This window comes from Homo sapiens, chromosome 13, assembly GCF_000001405.40.
Source record: "Homo sapiens chromosome 13, GRCh38.p14 Primary Assembly".
NCBI lineage: Eukaryota > Metazoa > Chordata > Mammalia > Primates > Hominidae > Homo > Homo sapiens.
In genome coordinates this window covers 44,057,781-44,080,955 of record NC_000013.11, presented here as the reverse complement: position 1 = coordinate 44,080,955, position 23,175 = coordinate 44,057,781, and the positions used below count along the sequence as shown (strand labels likewise).

The window sequence follows — 23,175 nt, the reverse complement described above, 5'->3', positions numbered from 1 at the left end:
TGTAGCAGATATATGTCAACCTATCCTCTGACAATATAATCGTCTACATTAAGTGATTTCACGTCTTTGAGTAAAGGCCCAAATGTTACACTATCTCAAAAGGGTCAAGAGAACACATTTGGATTAGAAGGACTAAGATCTTGACTTCATGAAAGTGTGTCAAGCCATATAGTTTATTGTACACTGTGTTTACAGCTCTATATTTCCATCAGTTACTATTTGTTTGACACAGTGTGCCTGGAAGTATACTGGGTGCATTAGTCTGTTTTTGTGTTGCCGTAAAGGAATAGCAGAGACTGAGCAATTTATTTTTAAAAACTGGCTTAATTGGCACACAGTTCTGCAGGCTGTGCAGAAAGCATGGCACTGGCATCTACTCCACTTCTGGTGAGACCTCAAGGAGCTTCCACTCATGGCAGAAGGTGAAGCAGGAGCAGACACATCACATGGTGAGAGAGTGAGCAAGAGAGAGACTCTTTTAAACAACAAGATCTTGCATGAACCCAGAGTGAGAACTCACTTACTAGTCAAGGGGATGGTGCTAAGCTGTTCATGAGGAATCTGCCTCCATGATCCAATACCTCCCACTAGACCCCACTTCTAACATTGCAGGTCACATTTCAACATGAGATTTGGAGGGGAGAAAACATCCAAAACTACCATTTCACCTCTGGCCCCCCAAATCTCATGTTCTTCTCACATTGTAAAATACAATCATTGCATCCTAATAGTTCCTCAATGTCCCAACTTGTTTCAGCATCAAGTCCAAAGTCCAGTCTTATCTTGTCAATTTTACAGCCTCCATTTGCACAAGAACATCAAGACTTTTCTCCTTTCTCCTGTTCTGCTAGCTCTGCTGTGTGATGATCGAGTGCATTTCTCAGTGTTTATGGCCTCAAGAGTGGGATGAGGACAGGGGAAGGGATCCAACCACTTCTCACAACCTCCACTGTAACCAAGCAGGTCAGCGCCAGCTTTATCTCTTGCCTGGATCACTGCCCTAAATGCCCATCAGTCTCTCTGCTTCTACCCTTGCTGTCCACCATCTGTCATCAGCCCAGAAGCTAGCGCTGACCCTTCCTAAACATGAATCAGATCATGCCACTCCTCTGCTCAAAAGCCTGCGAAGACTCCTCCTTTTACTCAGAATTAAATCCAACATTCTTACAATGGCCATAAGTCCCTGTATGATCTGGCCCTTACGTTTGCTTCTGCAATACCTCAGCTGCTATTGCTGTGCCCTCCTTGCTCGCTCTGCTTCAGCCACACAGAACTCCCTGTGGTTCCTTGACACAGTCTGTGTGCTGCTTAGATCTTGTGCCCTGCCTCTTCCTGGACTGCGCTTCCCTCAGACAGCCATCTAAACGGCCACCTCCCTCACCTCCCTCGGGTCTCTGCTCAAATGTTAGCTTCTCCGTGAGGCCCATTCTGCTTATCCTGATGAACAAAACACTTCCCATTCCCTGCCACAGCTTTCCCAACCACCTTACCTGCTCTCCTTTTCTTTCTCGTAGCATTTACTAATACACATATACTTGTTATGTAATAAGACGTCTTATGTATTTACTATTTTTTGCCTTTGTCTGTTTTTGTTTGCCAATGTATTCAGTGTCTAGAATGGCATATGGTACATAGTAGGCATTTGATAGATAGTTATTAAATGAGTGAGTGAGTGAAGATTAAATTCTGGTCTTGTTGGAAATGGGACGGAGAATGGAGAGGGTCGACCTCTCTTACAATCCCAAGATCATGGCATTATTGACAGTTCGGGCCAGATAAGGCTTTGTTGCATAGTGCCTAACACAATGTCCATTCAGAGGATTCATTTCCTCTTGAAAGCCCTTATCTGGTCTGTACCTCAGACTCATTTTCTCCCTACTAGCATAATTTTAATCTTATCTCTTGCATAAAAGAGGCAAACATTGGAAAGCATTTATCCTTTCTCTACTCCAGTTTACATGACAAAGGCTCGCTACTGGACTTCTCTTGGAGCTGGAAGGATTTAGGGAGTGAGGAGTCTCATTGCATACCCCCTCCCCCTACCCAAACAATATATTTGAAAACTTCCTTTGTAAATTAGATTTTGGCTGAATTCAAGGTGTAAATTACAACTGCAAAGACACTTCGGTTTTGTGATTTGTTTAGATTCTATTAATGATTTCTACTAAAACTGTGTTTTTTCTTTAGAAGAATCAAAGTGAAAGAGGTGAAGAAAAGAAGCAAAAGGTAGAAAACGTAAGGAAAGAAAACTTCTCCCTCTTTGTGTTTTCAGTTACTCATATTTGAATCTAGTGCCTCCAGTATAGTTGTCAATCAATGTCTTAAAACATCTGTCAAGTGCTGCCTACTGGCTCTTAACTCAGATTTTAGATACACAAAGGCCAAAGAAGCTCAATTTTCCATCTAGGTAGCACACTAAATGACACTGGCTTCTTCTTAGACTAGACTGCAAACTTACGCACTTTTACTTACAGCAAAAATAAAATCTGTTAACTTTGACTTTACTAATTTGTAATATTTGATAATTCTACCAGGGGCTAAAATTTGCCTAATAATTATTTATAAAGAAATAATTTACTAACTTAAAATGTAAGTAGGAATGCAAGTAAATAGTTAAAATATTTGTGGAAACGTGTCATTTTTACAAATCTTGTACTCCTTTGAAATTATTGATTTAAATCTCCACCTGGGGCAAGGAGAGAATGTATTTCTCTTTGTATTCTCACATCTAGGGTGCTCCTGGTACAGAATGGATGTATAATAGGTTATAGTTGAGTGAATGAAATAATTCATACATTAAAAATATTTATTTAATAAGGAAGGTCCCCAAAGAGCATTTTACTCGAAAACAGTTTGTTGACCTAGTCTTACACTGCCTAAATCTGAAAGTAATAAAAATGCTTGTCTTTAAAAAATAACCCCTGAATCCAACACTATTTGTCAACATTCAAATGTTAGAGGTTATAAACTAAGATGTTCATAACCTCTAACCCAGTAATTACACTTGTGGCATTCAACCCTGAGAATGTAGTAATAAAAACTTAATGTGATTTAAAATAGCGGACTATTTTATGTAACCTAAAATGACCAGCAGTAGAAGATAGTTAAGCAGCCAGCGGCAGCTATTGACAAAATGTGATGCAGACCTTAAAGGCTGTATTTATAAAGTATTTTATAACATAAAAAGTTCTACCATACTAAGTTTTAAAAGCACGATTTTAAATTACGTATACAATATAAATGCAAACAGGCCAAAACTATGTGCAGAAAAATTGCTTGACAGAAATATAACTTGATGTTATCTATGGTTGTGCGTGGGTGCTACAATTAAGGATTTTCTTCTTTTCAACATTTTTTTACCCTGAATTCTTTTTAATATAGTTTATATTCCAAACTGCCATCATCTCATGCCTACTAACCAGTCTCCCCACTTTGAGTATTGTATGGTTTTTTTCAATCTCAATAGTAGCTACAGTGATCTTCTTAAATAAGTTGGATCCTTCTTAATAGGTTGGCCTTCTATTACAAACAGAAATCCAAAAATCCTTAACTGGTTGAAAATAATTTGCTTGATCTGACCTACTATCTATATCGTATAGTTATCAGGTACACATTTAAAGACATTTCCCATTTCTCTTGAAATTTATTATGTCTTCTTGAAAAATTTTAAATCTATTTATGCTTTTCAGTTCACTAAATTTCACCAAAATTGTTGACTATAAATTATATTTCACACTCACCACTTACTCAACTTAATCATTTCAACAACTTTTACTAATAGAACCTGTGTGTATTTCACATTCTACCCACAGAAATATAGTGCAACCAAAACAAATCATCTGAAAATGCTGCTAGTAATATCCACTGAGGTAAGGGAATATGAATGAATGATTGACAAGATGAATTCATGTTAAGCAGTTTTTTCCTTTTTTATTTATATAAGAGGAGTATGCTTCAGTGTCAAAAACCCTATTTATTTGAGAGAGATGAAAACTATTGCTCTAGGGGAGAATTACATTGAGTTCCAATCTCTAGTGGTAGCTAGTTCATGTTTGTTATCTCACCTAAGTCTAGAAGTGTTAATAGATACCTGACATGAGGAAAACAAACAAAGATTTCCAAACAGCAGTTTAAAATAAGGCGGAATCTTTTTCTTAGTTCTAGTTCAGTGGGTCTCCCTGGATAAAAATTGAGAGTGCTGGATTAGGCCGGGCGCGGTGGCTCACGCCTATAATCTCAGCACTTTGGGAGGCCGGCCGAGGCGGGCGGATCAGCTGAGGCCAGGAGTTCGAGACCAGCCTGGCCAACGTGGTGAAACCCTGTCACTAAAAATACAAAACTTAGGACGTGGTGGTGGGCGCCTGTAATCTCAGCTACTCAGGTAGCTGAGGCAGGAGAATCGCTTGAACCCGGGAGGCAGAGGTTGCAGTGAGCCAAGATCGTGCAACTCCACTCCAGCCTGGGTAACAGAGCGATACTCCCTCTCAAAAAAAAAAAAAAAGGGGGGGGGGGTGGGGCTAGATTACTGCTGTTTAATAGCAAATAATGCAAGCCAAATAAATAATTCTTTTTTTTTGTTTTTCTTTTTTTTTGAGACAGAGTCTTGCTCTGTCACCCAGACTGGAGTGCAATGGTGCAATCTCTGTCCACTGCAACCTCCGCCTCCTGGGTTCAAGCGATTCTCCCGCCTAAGCCTCCTGAGTAGCTGAGTACAGGTGAGTGCCTCCATGCCTGGCTAATTTTTGTATTTTTAGTAGAGATGGGGTTTCACCATGTTGGTCAGGCTGGTCTTGAACTCCTGACCTTACGATCCACCTGCCTCAGCCTCCCAAAGTGCTGGGATTACAGGCATGAGCCATTGCACCTGGCCAATAATTCTTAGTTTCTAATAACTACGTTAAAAAAGTAAAAATGAAACAGATAAAATTAATTTTAGGTATTAATTTTAATACATTTTATTTAAATCAGTACATTTGAAATATTACCATTTTAATATGTAATCAATACAAAAATTATTAATGGGATAGTTTACTTTTTTTTTGTACAAAGTCTTCAAAATCCAGTGTACTTAGAGCACATCTCAGTTCAAACTAGCCACATTTCAAGTGCTCAGTAGCCACATATGGCTAGTGGTCACTGAATTGAGCAGTACAGGACTTGATAATAAGGCGAGAGGAGAAAGTAACCAAACAAGAGAGAGTCAAATTAAGTTCTTTTGGCTCATTGGGCAAATTGTAAATGCTTCTCTGGGATTAGCTGCCTTCAGTTTTTACAACACCAAAGCTGAGAAGTCTGGTTGCAAACAGTCTGAGTTGGGCTGCCCAAGATTCTAGCCAGCCAAGAGTCAATCAGTCGATGAGCTTAGTTGCACATGGGTGAAACTTGGCAAGATTTATCTTTGCCATCCAAACACGTTTGCAGTCCACACCAGATGAGAACATATATGCTTTTTATTATTTAATCAGCCATCCTGATCTTCAGTTAGGATGACCATAGAATTTTTTGTCCAAACCGGCACACTTTTGAGAGAGAAAGAAGGCACTATTAATAATGGTCCTGGGACAACAGGCATAATATGAGACTGTTCCTGCTGGCAAATCAGGACATACGGTTACCCTACCTTTAGTCAATGTTTCCATCTCTCAAAAGAACTTGGGTTACTGCCAGTAGTCACATGTATCTCCAGGATACATGTAACTCCAAGTAAGAGGTGCCAGTTCCCACAGCAGCCTATGCACAAAGCCCTAAATTTATCTTATAGGATTCATCTCAAGAGCCTGCATCATACAGGGTCCTTTACTCCCATGTCTAATAACACTGCTTTGATGCAATTTGCAAGCTTCTTGTTTTGCAATTTTCCACTCTGAGTCTTGTTTAAATTAGGGGTTTAATGAGAAATTGCTGTTGTTAGTTAAATGACACCTCTTTTTGGCAGGGTCTCCCAAGGAAACTAGAGGACCAGTAAACAAACTGTGCATGAAGGTGGATAGAATAGCCCTATTTTTTTTTTTTTGGGTCCTTTCTTTTCTGTCTTTCTTTCCTGTCTTTCTTTCATTTTCTCTTATATATGAAAAGAAGTACAGCAATCAGCTGTGACAGCCGAGAGAAATGTTTCATGGGAAGTAACAGATGGCTCAAAGCCACCTTCATTTCTGAGGAGAGGGAGAGTGCCTGTGGGCCTGGAAAATTGAAGGTTTGGAAACTAATTTTGTTTGACTCTTTAATCCTTTTCAAACATAGGCCCCAAAATGGAAGATTAAAGGATTTTACTTTTGCTGCTCAGTAAATTCAGCTCAGAAAAGTAAAAGATATAGAAGTAAAATGGCTGTGGATAAAACAAGACCCAACAGGAGGAACTTACCTTTATTAGCCCAAGGATAGTAAATTCCTCTGCTTAGGATTTTGTTGTTATTATAGTTGTTTATGTGAAGACTGGAGTGTTTTATAAGATTGGAAGACAGTGGGTCACCAGACAACTAAAGTTATATTTTACATGGAAACTACAGTCAGAATATTCAGAGCAAAAAGGCATAAGTGAGATTTAAAGATAGGTTTGTATGAGCATTACAGTAAAGTAATGAAAAGCACAAAGGACTCAGATCCATTCATTCATTCATTAGATATTTTATGGAGCACCTACTATGTATCTGGCAATGTTCAGTTCTAGGGTCTGGGATCAGCTGTGAGCAAGGTAGAGAAGGACTCTGTACTCTATGACAGCAAGAAGTTGACAGTAAAGAAGTGAACAAATAGTAAAATAATTTCAGATGTGTATAAGCATGTGAAGAAAGTGTAAGAGTATTAGGAGAGAGTATAACTAGAATGAGATGATGGTACTTTAAATAATGTGGTCAAGAAAGGTGTCTCTGAGGTGACATTTAACCTGAAACTGGAATGCTGAGAAGGACCCTTCCAGTGTCAGGAGTACTATATGAAATAGTATATTGGACTACTATGTGTCAGGCACCATTCTAGGTAGTGGGGATATTGGGTGAACAAATTAGTCAAAAGTTTTACCCTCATAGAGTGTGCTGCTCCTGCTTCTTCTTCTTCTTCTTCTTTTTTTTTTTTTTTTTTTTGAGACCAGGTATCCCTATGTTATTCAGGCTGAAATGCAGTGGCACAATCACAGCTCGCTCAGCCTCAAACTCCTGGACTCAACCTTCTGAGTAGCACTGCAGGCACTCAACACCATGCCTGGCTGATTTTTTTTTTTTTTTTTTTTTAGAGATAGAGTCTCACTATGCTGCCCAGGGTGGTCTCAAACTCCTCCCACTTTGAGCCCCCAAAGTGTTGAGGTTCCAGGTGTGAGCTATTGCACCTGGTCAACTTTGTATTTTAGTGGGGTAGGAAAAATAATAAGAACTAAGTGGAAAAACTCAACAGGGAGGTGTTTATGGAGAAAAATTAATCCATGAAGATGATAGATTATAGTCAGGGAAGACTTCATTGAGAAGGTGAAGTTTGTGCAAGTACCTGTAGACAGCAAGGGAGTGAGCCATGCCAATTTATGGGGGAAGACAAGGCAACAGAGAGAACAGCTGGTGCAAAGGCCTTAGGCAAGAATATTTGTAGCTTGTTTGAGTAACAGCAAGGAGGCAAATGTGGCTAGAGTTTAACCCTAAAAAGAAGACCAATGTATACTTAATAGTTAATATTAGAAGACAGTGGGTACCTCAAAAGTAGAGAGCGTCTTTATATTCCAGAACTGTCATCTTCTTGCCCAGAGAAGCTCTTTATCCAACAGCGGAAGGCCTGTGTTTAGCTCTGGGAGATAACACTTTAAATAAAGTTCTCTTTTCATATTTTCCTCATCTACCTCAAACTTCACAATTCTTTTAACATATTATATACACCAGAAGTTTACATGTGTCCACAGGTAGGTTGCTTCAATATTTTCTAACTTGATTTATTCATTTTTAAGAAAAGATTAAAGATTCTCTGGCCAATGCTATAAGACTTTGTTCATGATTTCAACCAATTATTAGTATAATCTTCCATTTTTTAGGGGAACTTCCACATACCTTTCTGTTATTGATTTCTACTTTAATTCTGTTGTGGCCAGAGAAAATACTTTGTATGATTTCAACAGTTTTACAAAATTGAGATTTGTTTTATGGCATTCAATGTGGTCTTAATGATTATCCTGTGTGCATTTGAAAAGAATGTATATTCTGCTGTTGTTGGGTGGAAGATCTCCAAATATCCACTGTCTACTGGCTTGCATAACTTCTGAAAATAAGTCTTCTGTAACTCTTATATTTGCTACTCTGTATATATGTATGTGTGTGTATATATATATCTTTTCCCCCCTGCTGCTTTCTATTTTTTTTCTATCAATTAGTGATAGAAATATGTTGAAATCTCCAACTCTAATTGTGGATATGTGTATTTCTCTTTTGAGTTATACCAGCTTTATCTTTATGCGTTTTGAAGCTCTATTATAGAGGCATAAACATATATAATTATGTCCTGTCAAGCAATTTGTTAATCATTATAGTAATATTCTTCAAATATATTTTGTCTGATGTTAATATAATTGGACTTTGCTTTTTTGTTCAATCTAAAAATTTCTACATTTTAATTGGAGCGTTTAAACAACTTAAATTTAATATAATTTTTATATAATTGGGTTGAAATCTACCATCTTGATAGCTAAAAGTTTTATTTTTAATACTTTTTTTTTCTTTTATTCTTTTCCTGACATCTTTTGGAGTGAATACTTTTTATGATTCCATGTCATCTCCACTATGGTCTTATTAACTATGCCTCTTTTTAATTGTTTTAGCAGTTTTTCTAGAAGTTGTAATACTCATTTCTGAATTATCACTTTCTACCTTTGAATAATCAAATACTACCTGACATGCAGTATAAAAACCTTACGACAGTGTACTTCCCCATTCTGTCTTTTGTGTTATTGCTGTGATGGATTTTTCTTCTACATGTTATAAACGCCACAATACATTAATATTATTTTTGTTTTAAAAAGTTAATTATCTTTTAAGCAGACTACACATGAAAAAAGTTCTTTTGTTTTGTTTTGTTTTTTGTTTTTTTTTGAGACAGAGTTTTGCTCTTGTTGCCCAGGCTGGAGTGCAGTGTCACTATCTTGGCTCACTGCAACTTCCACCTCCTGGGTTCAAGCAATTCTCCTGCCTCAGCCTCCCGAGTAGCTGGGATTACAGGCGCGTGCCACCATGCCCAGCTAATTTTGTATTTTTGGTAGAGATGGGGTTTCGCCATGTTGGTCAGGCTGGTCTCGAGCTCCCGATCTCAGGTGATCCACCTGTCTCGGCCTCCCAAAGTGCTGGGATTACAGGCGTGAGCCACTGCACCCGGTGACAAGAGTTGTATATTTACCCACATATCAACCATTGCTGATACTCTTCATTCTTTAGTGTAGACCCAAATTTTCAAATAATACTCTTTCTTTCTGATTTTATTTCTTGCATTGCAGTTCTGTTGGCAGTGAATTCTGTCAACTTTTTTTCTTTTAAAAAAGTCCTTATTTTTTACTTAGTTTTTCAAATATACTTTTACTGGATATGGAATTCTAGTTAGATTTTTTTCCTTCTTTTGGCGCTTCACTTCATGGTCTACTGGCTTGCATAGCTTCTGAAAAGAAGTCTTTCATAACTCTTATATTTGATACTCTGTATATTTATCTTTTCCCTCTTGCTGTTTTTAAGATTTTCTTTTTATCATTGATGTTCTGAAATTTAATTATGATGTGCCTTTGTGTGGCGTTCTTAAAATGTTTATTCTGCTTCTTCTATTATCATACCGTTTTTATTAACCATCATTCCTTTTCTTCTCATTTCTTACATTTTTTTGGAGTAATCAAGTATTTTCTATTATTTTCTTTTATTAGCATATTAATTATAATTTTAGTGATTAATTTAGATATTATAGTATACACACTAGACTTATTATGGCCCATAATAAATTAATATTTTTAACACCTCCCAGACAATGAAAGGACTTTGGATATTTTAACACAATTTTTTACTTACTGCCTTTTGTGCTATTTTTGCCATATATTTTAAACCCTATAACATATAAATATAATGTTTATTTATAATAATATAAATATATTTATATTGTTACCTTATTGTTCATGCAGTCAATATATTTACTGACATGTTTACCCTTTCTTGTGCTCTTTCCACCTTTGTGCATTTCTGTGAGTCCATTTAAAATAATTCTTCAACTTCCTGAATAATTATTTTAAATATTTATTATTGTATATTTGTGCTAATTTTTTGTTAATATGCAAACATTTTTTCCCCCTTGATTTTTGAAGAATATTTTCACTCAGTATAGAATTCTATGTTGGCAGTTATTTCAGTAGTTTACAGATCCTATCCCATTGTCTTCTGACTGCCATTATTAATGTTGAGCATCAGTCAATTTATCATTGTTACTTTTAAAGTAATAAGTCTTTTTCTTTTAGCTGCTTTTAAATTGCTTTGTTTGGCTGGGTGTGGTGGCTCATGCCTGTAATCCCAGCACTTTGGGAGGCTGAGGTGGGTGGATCTCCTGACATCAGGAGTTTGAGACCAACCTGGGCAACATGGTGAAATCCCATCTCTACTAAAAATACAAAAATTAGCTGGGCATGGTGGTGGGTGCCTGTAATCCCAGCTACTTGGGAGGCTGAGGCAGGAGAATCACCTGAACCCGGGAGATGGAGGGTGCAGTTAGCCGAGATCACACCATTGCACTCCAGCCTGGGTGACAAGAGCAAAACTTTGTCTCAAAAATAATAATAATAAAAAATAAATAAATAAATTGCTTTGCTTTTAGCTTCCAGCAGTTTGAATACCTTGTGACTGGAGTAGTTTTCTTTGTATTTAACCTTTGTTGAGTTTCTTAGAGCTTTTTGAATGTGTGGGCTGATATGTTTCATTGGACTTTGGAAATTCTCAGTTGTTATCTCTTCAAATATTGCTCCTGTCCCATTTTCTTGCTCCTTTACTTCTAGAAATCCAATCACAAATGTTAGCTCTTTCTTATTTTATATACCCTTACACTCTTGTCATCAATTGTCTCAAAAATACTGATGACAGTAGAGTTGAAATCTCTTTCTGATAACTCCAATATCTGAGATACCTGTGGATCCATTTCTACTATTTGCTCTTTATCTCTTGATATTCAATTGTTTGGTCCTATGTCCAGGCATGCTCAGTTATTTTCAATTGAATAATTCCTATTACCTACGAAAAACTCTAGTGGCTCTGGTGATATATCTTCTTGCACAAAAGATTTATTTTTCTTCTTGGAAGTAATTAGAGTAGAAGTATGTAACCTTGGTTCAAAGGGGAATTGGGAGAAATTGAGGCTGAGTTTCTGGTTTTGTGAGGACTTGTCTACTTCCAGTCTGCCTTTACTCTCAGTGTGCAGTTCTTTATGGGTCTCAACTCAATAGCAGAATGTTTACCACTGCCTCTCATCTTTGGTTGGGCTTTGAACTCCAATTTTTATCTCCTAGCACCGTGACATGAACAAAACTTTGCTAGGCTTTTTAATCTTTCTGTGCATCTTTCTGTTTGCCTTCTAACCCTGCACAGTTTAGCAATAGCGCAACGTCTCAAGAGGAGGAGCAACAGATAACATTAATTTGTTTCATTGCATTTCCTTTCTTTCCAGGATATTTATCTCCTAACTCCTTTCTCCCTTGATTATTGTCTAATGCCTTCAAACCGCTGCATTTTACTATTTGTCCAGGTTTCATCGATGTTAATAAAGGAAGAGCTGATTTGATATAAGCTACTCTCTCATTCTTAAAAATGTGGATTAACTGTGCTTTTAAATTTCTTTTAATTCTACATATAATTTTGATTAAAATTTTATTTAAACATCAAAAGATTTTATATTTCTTCCATGTCAAATAACAATCTGAAGTTAGGATGCCTATTACTTGGCAACCACATTTTTAATAGATGACTACAACGTAGTCACTCTAGAAACCAAGCGGTAGGAGGAAAGAAACAAACCAAGAGATCATATTACCAGGAAGTTGTTAGTTGAAACCAAAGGGAAAGGTACTGGAAAAAAAAGCTCTTCCATGTTGGCGTGGGTGTCTGTAGGAGAAAGAGAACCATTAACAACTCATCTATTTTTAGAAAATATCTTTTTCTTTCTAAAAATATGACTGTTTATCAAGTAGCACTACGATCAGTGTAATTTTGTAAAATGAGATGTTGATTGAAAATCAGGTGATAATAATCATTCTGTGTCTGCTGAGGTTTTGAAAATAAAGTGGCAGAACTGAGTAGCCCCTTTTCCTCAACTATTGAAAAATCAGCGGTGGATCAGTCATGGTGAGAATCAGTACCGCATGGTAGCATTCACAGAAAAGTGATAATCTGTGCCAAATTTATACTAAGGGTAGTTATGTAAATGAGTGAATGACGGAAGAAATTAACAAACACAACCTCTGGGGTCTTAATTGGGTTGTCAACCTACAGCAAACTATTAACTTGTGCTCCCACAACAAAAATGTAAAACCACCAGGGAGTGGTGCTGCAGTTCACAAAGCAGGTGATACCAGAAAGTGCATGGAAGAAATCCTGCGAGACAGTCAAGGAATGAGAAGGAATCTTGGCATCGTTGTGTCTGGAGTTCTGTTTCCCAGATTTTGTCACTTCTTAGCTATGTGTTCTTAGTCATACAGCCTAAGTCTTTCCTTCTTCACTTGTAAAATAAGAATAATAATAATACCTACCTTGTGAAGCTGTTGCACAGATGAGCAATTTCCTAGCAAAATGGCAGGCATGAATAAATTCTTAATAAGTAATTGGTATTTCTGTCACTTCCTCCTCAAAACCTCCAGAATAATAATACATATTTGGTTATTTATTGATGTGTAATAATTTACGTGGAGGACAATTGGCGTCATTTTTTTCAGAATGAACTTTCAATTTTTATATTAGAAGAGTCATGTGAAACCAGAAAAGAGTGCGATAATGATTTCATTAAAATAACTCATAATAATTATACCAAGAGCTGTTAGAAATTTCTCATGAGGAAATGAAACAATTAAAAACTACGAGGTTGAGAAAGAAGGAAATCAAACTGGGTAGTCTTTGTAATTATGATTTGTATTCCATTTATCATTTGAATACAACGAGACTTCATTGTAGCCTTGGTCCTTTGTCATCAGTGCTTAGAAGCACAAAAATTAATTGTGGCACAATGACCTTGACACTGATCAGCATGCTATTTCTTGTACCACAATTTTAATGGTTATTCAGAAATAAGAGCCTTTTACTTTATTGAGCCTACCTCATCCTCTTCTTCATGTCCTCAACTTAGCTCCTTACTGGTTTAGAATCCACAGCCCACAATTAAAATCATTCAGTCTCCCTCTTTTTTTTTTTTTTTTTTTTTTTTGAGACGGAATCTCGCTCTGTCGCCCAGGCCTGGAGTGCAGTGGCGCGATCTTGACTCACTGCAAGCGCCGCCTCCCGGGTTCACGCCATTCTCCTGCCTCAGCCTCCCGAGTAGCTGGGACTACAGGCGCCCGCCACCACACCCGGCTAATTTTTTGTTTTTAGTAGAGATGGGGTTTCACCGTATTAGTCAGGATGGTCTCGATCTCCTGGCCTCGTGATCCTCCCACCTCGGCCTCCCAAAGTGCTGGGATTACAGGCGCGAGCCACTGCACCCGGCCTCAGTCTCCCTCTTAACTTCCTTGCCCCTTCCTTTTCTAATTATGAAGGCTGCCGAAACAGCAACTTTCTCACTATCCCTCCATTTCCCTTTATAAAGAAACTTGAGATTTCTAGGCTTGTTTTCCCTACTCTGTCTCCACTAATTTCTCTTAAATCTTCTCCAGTTGGGATACTGTGCCCACTACTCCTCTAAAATTGTTCATATCAAAGGTATCAAATCCAGCAGTCAACTCTACATCCTTAACTCATTCAGTAGTATTTGATACAGATTCCCCACTCTGACAAGCCTTTAGTTGACGACGGGGACACAAAATTACCCACATTGTCTCAGATTTCACAGGCTGCTTCTACTCAGTCTCCTCTGAGGATCCTCTTTTTTTCTGATTTCTGAATATGGGAGTGCACTGGGGCAAGTCCTCAAACTCCTCTTTATACAGATTCACTCCCTTGATGATCTCATTCAGACAATGGTTTTAAATGATATCTACATATTTTATCAAGTCTAATATGAAATGAAGGAAGAGATCAAGTGGAGCAATTCACTTTAAAGTGTTTTAAATTGTTCTTAATTAATAGACTTGATTTCTTACAGGAGGTTTAGATTTGCAGAAAAATTGAATAGAAAGCGCAGAGAACTCCCGTATACTCCCACTCCTTCCCCTAGTGTCCCCTGTTATTAACATGTTGCAGTAGTCTGGTATATTTGTTTTAAGTGATGAACTAATATTATTAAATAACATTATTATTAAATAAAGTTCATAGTTAATATTAGAGTTCACACATTGAGTTTACATCCTGGGGATTTTGAAAAATGCACAGTGTCGTGCATCCACCATTATAGTTTCATATATGATAGTTTCACTGCCCTAATAGTCCCTGTGCTTTCCCTGTTCTTCCCTCTCCCTTCGTCCCCCACCCCTGGCAACACTGGGGTGTTTTAATTGTACAGACTAAATGACTTAACTCTTCCCAGGAGCGACAAGAAAAAGCCCATCCTGGAGTTTTCTGCTACTCCTGACACACTGCCTTTGTGTTTAATGTTCTTGCTTTTCAAAGCTATTAAGGAACAACGGCACACTTCTTGGGTGTAAAAAAAAAAAGAAAGAAAGAAAAAACCACTTTACCTAATAATGTTCCATCTTGTACTTCTTTCAGAAAGGTTGCTTGGTTTCTAATTATCACTCGGCTGTAGCCTCTGCTACTGACGTCTGAAGGCTGTGATTAGCATGGGAGTTCATTGGGAAATAGTTTCTCACATAGATTCATTTCCTTTCTAGGATTCTTCCCACTCTCACCTTTTTTCTCTCTCTTCTCATCTCCATTTTCTAATAACTTTGAGTTACTGACATGTTTTCATCTGTTTTTATGCAATGCCACTTTAATTAAAAATGCCAAAAGCAAAATGATTTTTTTGAGCCAGTCCTGAAGGAAGGCTGTGCTTGAGAGTTTCCAAATGGCAGATTCTCCAATATTGGTATTGGGAGTGGGGGAGTAGGGAGTATGGAGAGCTACCAAAGGCCTCGTGTCTTTCTGGAGGATGGAACAGAAGGACCGCTAAGTGGATGGCTTGTCTTTACTGGTAAGGAGAGGGTTTCCATCCTAGTTATCTCAGGACTACCTGCAAAAGTGATGGAAACTTGGCAGGTGGAAATAAAAGTTTGTGGCCTTCAGATTGACTCCTGGGGGTTTCTCCCTCCTTTACTCATAGGACCACAAGCATTGGATTATTTCATAAGCCTTCCATACTAGGGTCTTTCCTTGAAAAAACCTGCCAGTTGCAAAATCATAGCTATTACCAAATGCAGAGAAATCTTCTCAATGCTAAGGAAGAAGATCATGTATCTAAGAGAGGAAATTATATTCATTGGGCAAACTGAGTTCTAAGAATGGTTCGTTCTCCCAAATGGCTTGCCATTTCCCAAATGCACATATCAATCCCAAGTGCTCAACCAATGTCAGTGTTGCCATTTCTTTCTTTCTCCCTCCTTTTCTGTGATGTCTCCTCTGTGGCTCCAGGGAGAGCCGGTCACTCCTTCTTCAATCTCCCCATGGTTCTTTAGACATACCTTTAGTATAACACTCTTCATTCTCCACTAAGTGACAAGTTCTTTCTGAGAGGCAAGAAGTTTATCTAGAGCAGGGGTCCCCAACCCCCAAGCCTGCAGACTGGTACCAGCCCGTGGCCTGTTAGGAACCAGGCTGCACAGCAGGAGGTGAGCAGTGGGCAAGCGAGCATCACTGCCAGAGTTCTGCCTCCTGTCAGACCAGCAGCAGCCTTAGATTCTCATAGGAGCACAAACCCTATCGTGAACCATGCATGAGAGGGATCTAGGTTGCCTGCTCCTTATGAGAATCTAGTGACTGATGATCTGAGGTGAAACAGTTTCATCCCCAAACCATCTCTCCCTCCCCCTCCCAATCCATGGAAAAATTGTCTTCCATGAAACAGATCCCTGCTGTCAAAAAGGTTGGGGATTGCTGATCTAGACCTCGGTGATCCATAGTCAGGTGCTCAAGGAATTGTTAATTGAAAGAATGAACTTTGATCTTTTAGACACAGTATAGCAGGAGTCCTGGCTGGAGTGCAGGCTGCGTTGACCCTCTGGCCACTCCAGCATGTCTGGAGGATGAGTGGAACTAGCCTGCTAACTGGAATTTCATGAGGACTGAGAACATTCTGGGAAAGAATTAGTTCTATAAGACTCGTTCCTGGAAAAACCTAATCTCTCCTGCCTCCAGGCCTCTACACATGCTCTGCACATGTTCTGCCTGAAACTCTGCCTCCACCTCTTTACTGAGCTAATTTTGTTCATATATCAGAGCTAAGTGTCTTAGGAAACTTCCTTAGGAAACCTCTGCTAGCCACCCAGATTGTCAGCCTCCTTGTTCTTCCCCCCTTGCCCACCCCCTGGCTCCAATTTCTGCACTGGTACCTATATCATGCTTAGTTACTTGTCCAGTGTTTGCCCTACCTGCTCGTTTGTAAACTTCCTAAGGTCAAAGGTCATCTTTGTTATGTTTACTGCTATACCCCTAGAATTAGGCTCAGTTCCTACACATAGTAGAGACTCAAAAATATATGTTAACGAATGAGTATATGCAAATGCCTACTCAGTGCTTCACTGCAGTGTCTCATAAGCATAACAAACCTAATATGTTGCAGACTTTTGATTTCCTCACCGCAGTCTGTTTTTTATCTTCCTGATCTCAGTAAATGCATCATCATCCATCCAATTGCTCAAGCCAGAAACTTGGTAGTCATCTGATTCTTCTCCCTTACTGCACCTATATATTGAATCTATCAGCAAATCCTTCCTATTTCAAAATGCATCTCCCATTTACTTATGTTCATCTTCACTGCTGCTGTCCTACTTTAAGCCATCATCATTTCTCACCTGAATGATTACAAATAACTTTCCTATTTCCCTTCTTGGTATCTTCCAATCTACTCTCCACATAGCAGTCAAGATGAGCTTTACATTTTTTTACAAAATGTGAAGAAAACTATCCATTCCCCTTCTATTTAATGGCTTCTCAGGTTCAACCTACAGAAGTCAAACATAGCCTGCCCCACCTTGCTGCTCAACCCAGCCTCCTACCATTCTGCCTCTCTCTCACTTGACTCTAGCTACACCCACTGCAGATTTATTTTAGGTCTTTGAATGGCCCATGTGTTTTTCTTCCTTATACTCCCTTTGCCTGTGAAACTCTTTCCCCGGCTCTTTAAATGGTTGTTTCCTTCTCACCCTTTGGGTCTTAATTTAAATGTCATTTCCTGAAGGAGGCCCGCTCTTGACCACTCCATCAGCTCTTATTCCTGATCACAGCACCTTGACTATTACTTTCTTAGCATTTCACATAAGTAGTTATGCATTTATTAATTTGTTCACCTGTTACTGTTGGTCTGCACACGGGAATGTAAGCTCCATCATGCTTCTTTTGCACATAGCCTCTACATCATCAGCCTATTTTGGTGCTCAGCACATAATAGATGTTTAATAAACATTTGTTGACTGAACGAACAGACAAATGATTGAACCAAACTCAAGGACGATGGGGTGGAGATGAAATGGAAGGGTGGCCCTAGGAGTGGTACAGGGTCTGTCATAACCGGCTGTTGTGGCTCAGACACCAGTTCCTTCTGCCTCAGTCACCATCAGCTTTGGCGTGGACATCAACAGTTAACAATTTGTCTAGTGGGAAGTAGAGGCCAAGCTGTCACCTCTGGCAGAGATGAGATGGATGCAGCCCCACAGTAGGCTGGACAGTCTGGGGTCCAGTCACAGTTGAGGAGGTTTATTGCCCGAACCCTTCAGTGGTGCCATATGGGAGGAATTTAGGCCTTGCTAAGACCCATATGGGAAGAATTTGAAGGGACTGTGGACTCTACAGAGGAAGTGAGGGTGGAGCCAAGAAAATGTCATTTTGTGAGAGTTGTGGTGGCCAGGGACATGTAGGTCTTGATTGCCTGTCTTTTAAGTCTTGTCTCTCAATTGCTAATGTATTTGGAGTTTGATTTTTATCTTCAAGACATTTAGAGTGAGCAGTAATGGTAATCACTGGCATCAATAGCACTGGAAGATGAGGACTCAAGGAGTTAAACGAAACCCCACTGGTGGTAGTGGTTGCAATTTTATGAAGTCACTTTGGAAGTACATTAAAAATCAAATACAAAAGATCTTTGAGCCATGTTCCAGCTGTTATAAAAACCCTTCAGGTATTTATGTCAATGAGTACATTAACAGTCTTAATATGTCACAGGTGGCTGCATTTTATTTTTTAAAGCATTCTTACAAGGCGATCCAATTTAAGTATACATTTGGGCTAAATTCTCATCCTTTGTGGCTCCATAGGGACATTAATTCATTAGTGAAAAGGCATAGAATTCTTTAAAAGGAAGAATTGTCTACTAGTTAGTGAGTTGGCCTAAAATATTGGGAGCTCTATATCCTGTTTCCACTCTGTTCATGGTCAAATTATTTCCTTCAGTGGGAGCTGGTTTGTCTCAGGGCTGATTTCTTTTGTTGTCCTCCTCAACATGAGTCCTGGGTGAGGAAAATGAGATTACAAAGAACCAGCATGTATTAGTCTTGCCCAATACCCAGCCTTTTTAGACTTCCTTGACGTCCATAGCTGAGGCTACTTAAGCCCACTTTCAGACTCAGCCATTTCCCGGGTTTAAGCAGCAGTCAAGTGTTCCAGCACATGCCCTAAATCACTGCACACAGTCAGATGTACCTCTGGTCTGTTCTGACCTTGAGCTCCGCATTGCACACAGGCCCTTCTGTCACCCAAGATCTAGTATCCACCTCACATGCCAGTTCTGAGAATTGGGCTTCTCCATTGTTGCTAGTACCTGAGTTCCTGTGATGGAAATCTGATGCTGCCACTGTCTCTCTTTTTAAAAAAATTCATTAAAATTTTTTTGTATTAAATATACATAAGCTAAAATTTACCATTTTGACCATTTTTAAGTGTGTAGTAGAGTGGCACTAAGTACATTTACACTGCTGTGCAATCATCACTCCCATCCATCCCTAGAAGCTATTCATCATCCCATACTTGAGCTCTGAACCCATTAAACAACTCCTCATTTTCCCACTCCTTACCCCTAGTCCCTGATAACCCCTGTTTTGCTCTCTGGCCATGGGCATTGTCTCTCTCTCTCTCTCTCTTTTTTTTTTTTTTTGACACAGTCTTGCTCTGTCGCCCAGGCAGGAATGCACTGGCACGATCTTGGCTCACTGCAACCTCTGCCTCCTGGGTTCAAGCAATTCTCCTGCCTCAGCTCCTGAGTAGCTGGGATTACAGGCATGCGCCACCATGCCCAGCTAATTTTTGTATTTTTAGTAGAGAAGGGGTTTCACTGCATTGGCCAAGCTGGTCTCGAACTCCTGACTTCAGGTGATCTGCCTGCCTCGGCCTTCCAAAGTGCTGGGATTACAGGTGTGAGCCACTGCGCCTGGCCTTGGCATTGTCTCTTGTATTGACTTTTGCCTCATTCTTGCCTGCCCACTTCTTTGTTCTTTGGCCACAAGGACTAATCTGGGACCAGAGTCTTATTTTTTTAAGCCCAACATAGACGGTGAAACTCTTCTACGTGCTTATTTTCTGTCTTCCCAGACTCCTGATGTGAAGGTTAAAGTGACTCCATCTTGGAAGCGAATCCGCCATATTGACTTCTGATTAACCCCCTTTCCAGGATTGACTCTCAGATTTCCAGTTTATCTTTGCTTCTTGTGTAAGAGCATATAGTTACCATAAATCCTGTCCTTAGATCAAATCAACCTTCATAAACTCATACTTCCCATAAATCCTACCCTTAGATTAAAGTCCTTCCCATTCCCTCTGAAGTATGTGTACCCTTTTCCTATGGTATATAATCCCTGGGTCTGGGGGTGATGGTAAGGAGGTTTACCTGGCTTATGTCTACCTAAGACCATGCTTCTGTCTGTAAGTTCTCCAATAAAATCTCTCTATAATGCAAGCAGGACTTGTGTGCCTCCTTTGGTTATCAAATTCCTTCTGCATTTTGGGGGTTGATTTACATATACAGCCCTTTCACGAAACGACTGAGTATTATTCTATCCTTCAGTCTTCATTGCTTTTCTCTGGTTGTCTTTCATAATTTTCCTACTACGTTGCTTTGAGATCTTTGCTTCCAACACATTCTCTCCACCTCCAACCCCCTTCCCCCGTATCTATTTCCCTACCCTTGGATATAGCATTCTATCTGCTAGACTACACTTCCCAGAGCCTGTAGCCAACATTTCTCCCTACTCCCTAATTCCAGGCCTTGGCTCTCCCAGCGTGCTCCATTCCATTGCTCTTCCCCAGGCTATCTGGCTGCCCCTTGAGGCATGAGAACATTACCCTTCAGTGCACAGTCACATGGAGACAAAGCCACTGGCTCTGCAACCTTTAGAAGTGCAAAGATCTCACTCTCTCTAAGAGGATATAGATTCAAATTCAGAATTATTAGCAGAGGGCAATGAGAATTTGCAAAGCGTTGCACAATGAAAATAGCACTCTGGTAACAAAAATTGAGATGAGTTTTAATAGGCTACAGTGACTCAATATAAAATCTCATTTTATATGTAGGTTTAAAAAAGTAATTTCTTTCTTTTTTTTTTTTTAAATATGGAACGCTTTGCGAATTTGCATGAAGTGATCAACAACATTTCCCCAGGCCCTTCACCCCAATGTGTAAAATATGAATCTCTTTGACAACATCCCCAGTAAGGGTGGCCCTGACTTCTTTTGGAAAACTCGCTGACAGAGATCTAAGTACATCTCAAAGTGTCCCGTTGTTTCTGAGTTGGTTGGATTTTTAAAACCTAAGGTCCTATTCGGAAGAGACATTTCTTCTTCTAATGTGCAGTATTATTCTCTGCTTCTATTCAAGTCTGAGTTCTGCCCAAGAATTGGTTTCTATACATTTTAATAGGAGGTATTTTTAGAGGTCAGTGAAATATTACTGTGAAATTGAAAGGAATGACCCAATTCCTCATCTCCTTTCATTAGAAGTGATACATATTAAACCTTATCTCCCACATAAGAGAGATTAGGCAGAATTAGATAATCTTAATAACTCTGAATTATCAAGTACTCCAGTTTCCCAGTGAACCTTTGAAAATAGTGCAGATTTTCAAATCAAAATAGCATTTGGGTCTTCTCCGATAGTCTAATACTCTTTGTCATGTGGTCAAGACCACGGCAAACAGGAACAAGGACTAGGGTCTCAGCATCAGGCAGATGAGAGAGGTGATTAAAGCTGAAATGCAGTGTGGAAGGAGAACCAAATAAGGTGAAGAGTGACTTCACCAGCTGTGCAGAAATCAAAGACAAAAATGATCAGATTAATACAAGAAACAGAGATGGTGAAAGCATTTGAGGGACAAACTGAAAGAAGAAGATAAATGATAGAACTGAGGCTCAGTGTTGCTCAGAAGAATTTTCTGGTTAGTGTCGACACCCATTGGGAAGGCCAAAGCCCACCTTGCTGCCTTCACTCATCAGAAGGTGACGTTTTTGTTTTGGATGTCTGATGTCCGCTAACATGTGCCCAAACAACAGGACAAAAAATGTCTCAAATCATTTTTAGTTGTATAAAGGACATTCAGTTTTTATTTGAAAGACCTAGGTTCAAGTTCCAATTCCACAACTTACCAGATGTGGATTCAGAGCAAATTACTGACCCTCTCTGAACCTGTTTGTTTTCTAAATAATAATAACAAAGCCCAGTTCTTAGTCCTGAGGCATCCAATGAGCTCAGGAGTCTTTGAGCATTAGGGAGCATTCTACAGTAATTAAAGGTAGATTTTTCTAAAAGAAATAAATCTTGCAGGCTCTGAAAAGAAAAACTCAGCTCTTTGTTTCTCAGGAGATGTCTGCTGCATAAAGAGAGCAAAGTGGGAGAGTTTGTATTTTCCTGTACAGTTCTGTTCAAGTGTTCCATGGCATGTTTTTTCAGCTGCTAATAATGGAAATTCCTGCTGCCAAATATGTATTAATGATAACACCATTTAAACCCTTCCTGGCTGCCACTTTAGCACTAAGCCAGCACATTTGGGTTCCACGAAGCCAGATGGTACACATTTTTCTGGAATTTAGCTTTATGATGCCACTTCAATTGATTCTAGACTTTGTTATATGGCTCTCCCCTAATCTGTCTTACATTATTACAGGAAAGAGAAGTACTTTTTAAAAAATAAACTTGACTTTTTAGTATAGTCTTAGATTTACAGAAAACTTGCAAAGACAGTTCTTATGCTCCATGCTCTGTCTCCTTTGTTATTAGCATCTTACATCACGGCACATTTGCTGCAATTAATTCACCAATGTTGACACATTATTATTAATTTCAGTTCATACTTTATTCAGATTTCCTTAGATTTCACCTAACATCCTTTTTCTGTTCCAGGATCTCATCCAGGATGCCACATGATATTTAGTAGTTGTGTCTTCTTAGGCTGCGACAGTTTCTCACGTCTTTCATTTCTGATGACCTTGACAATTTTGAGGCATTTTTTTGCATGTCTCTTCATTGGGAATTGTCTTCCTCATGATTAATCCGGAGTTACAGGTTTGGGAGAGGAAGAACACAGAGGTAAAGTACCATTTTCCTCATGTCAAGGATACATTCGATGAACATGACTTACCACTGTTGTTTTTGATCACCTGGCTGAGGTGGTGTCCAGCAGTTCTCTCCAATGGAAAGATATTCTTTTATTCCCTGTTTTCACACTGTGCTCTTCTGAAGGAAGTGACTGTGTGCAGACCACACCATCTCATCTCTTTGAAGGTGGCGTATCCACATGAATTACTTGGAATTGTTCTGCATGGGAGATTTGTCCCTTTTACCACATTTATTTCTTTATTTATATCATTATGGACTCATGGACATTTATTTTATATGTTGAGTTATAATCCCATGCTACTTTATTTAATTTTTTGCTCAAAATTTTCCAGCTTTGGCCATTGGGAGCCTTCAGTTAGC

General features: G+C 39.0%; 1 annotated feature.

The window, feature by feature from the left end:
• Positions 625-1,506: an enhancer, noted in NCBI's record as "NANOG-H3K27ac-H3K4me1 hESC enhancer chr13:44653586-44654467 (GRCh37/hg19 assembly coordinates)". NCBI's record gives its function as "activates a minimal SCP1, AML or CMV promoter by ChIP-STARR-seq in naive H9 embryonic stem cells {active_cell/tissue: H9 hESC(naive)}" and the evidence as "EXISTENCE:reporter gene assay evidence [ECO:0000049][PMID:30033119]".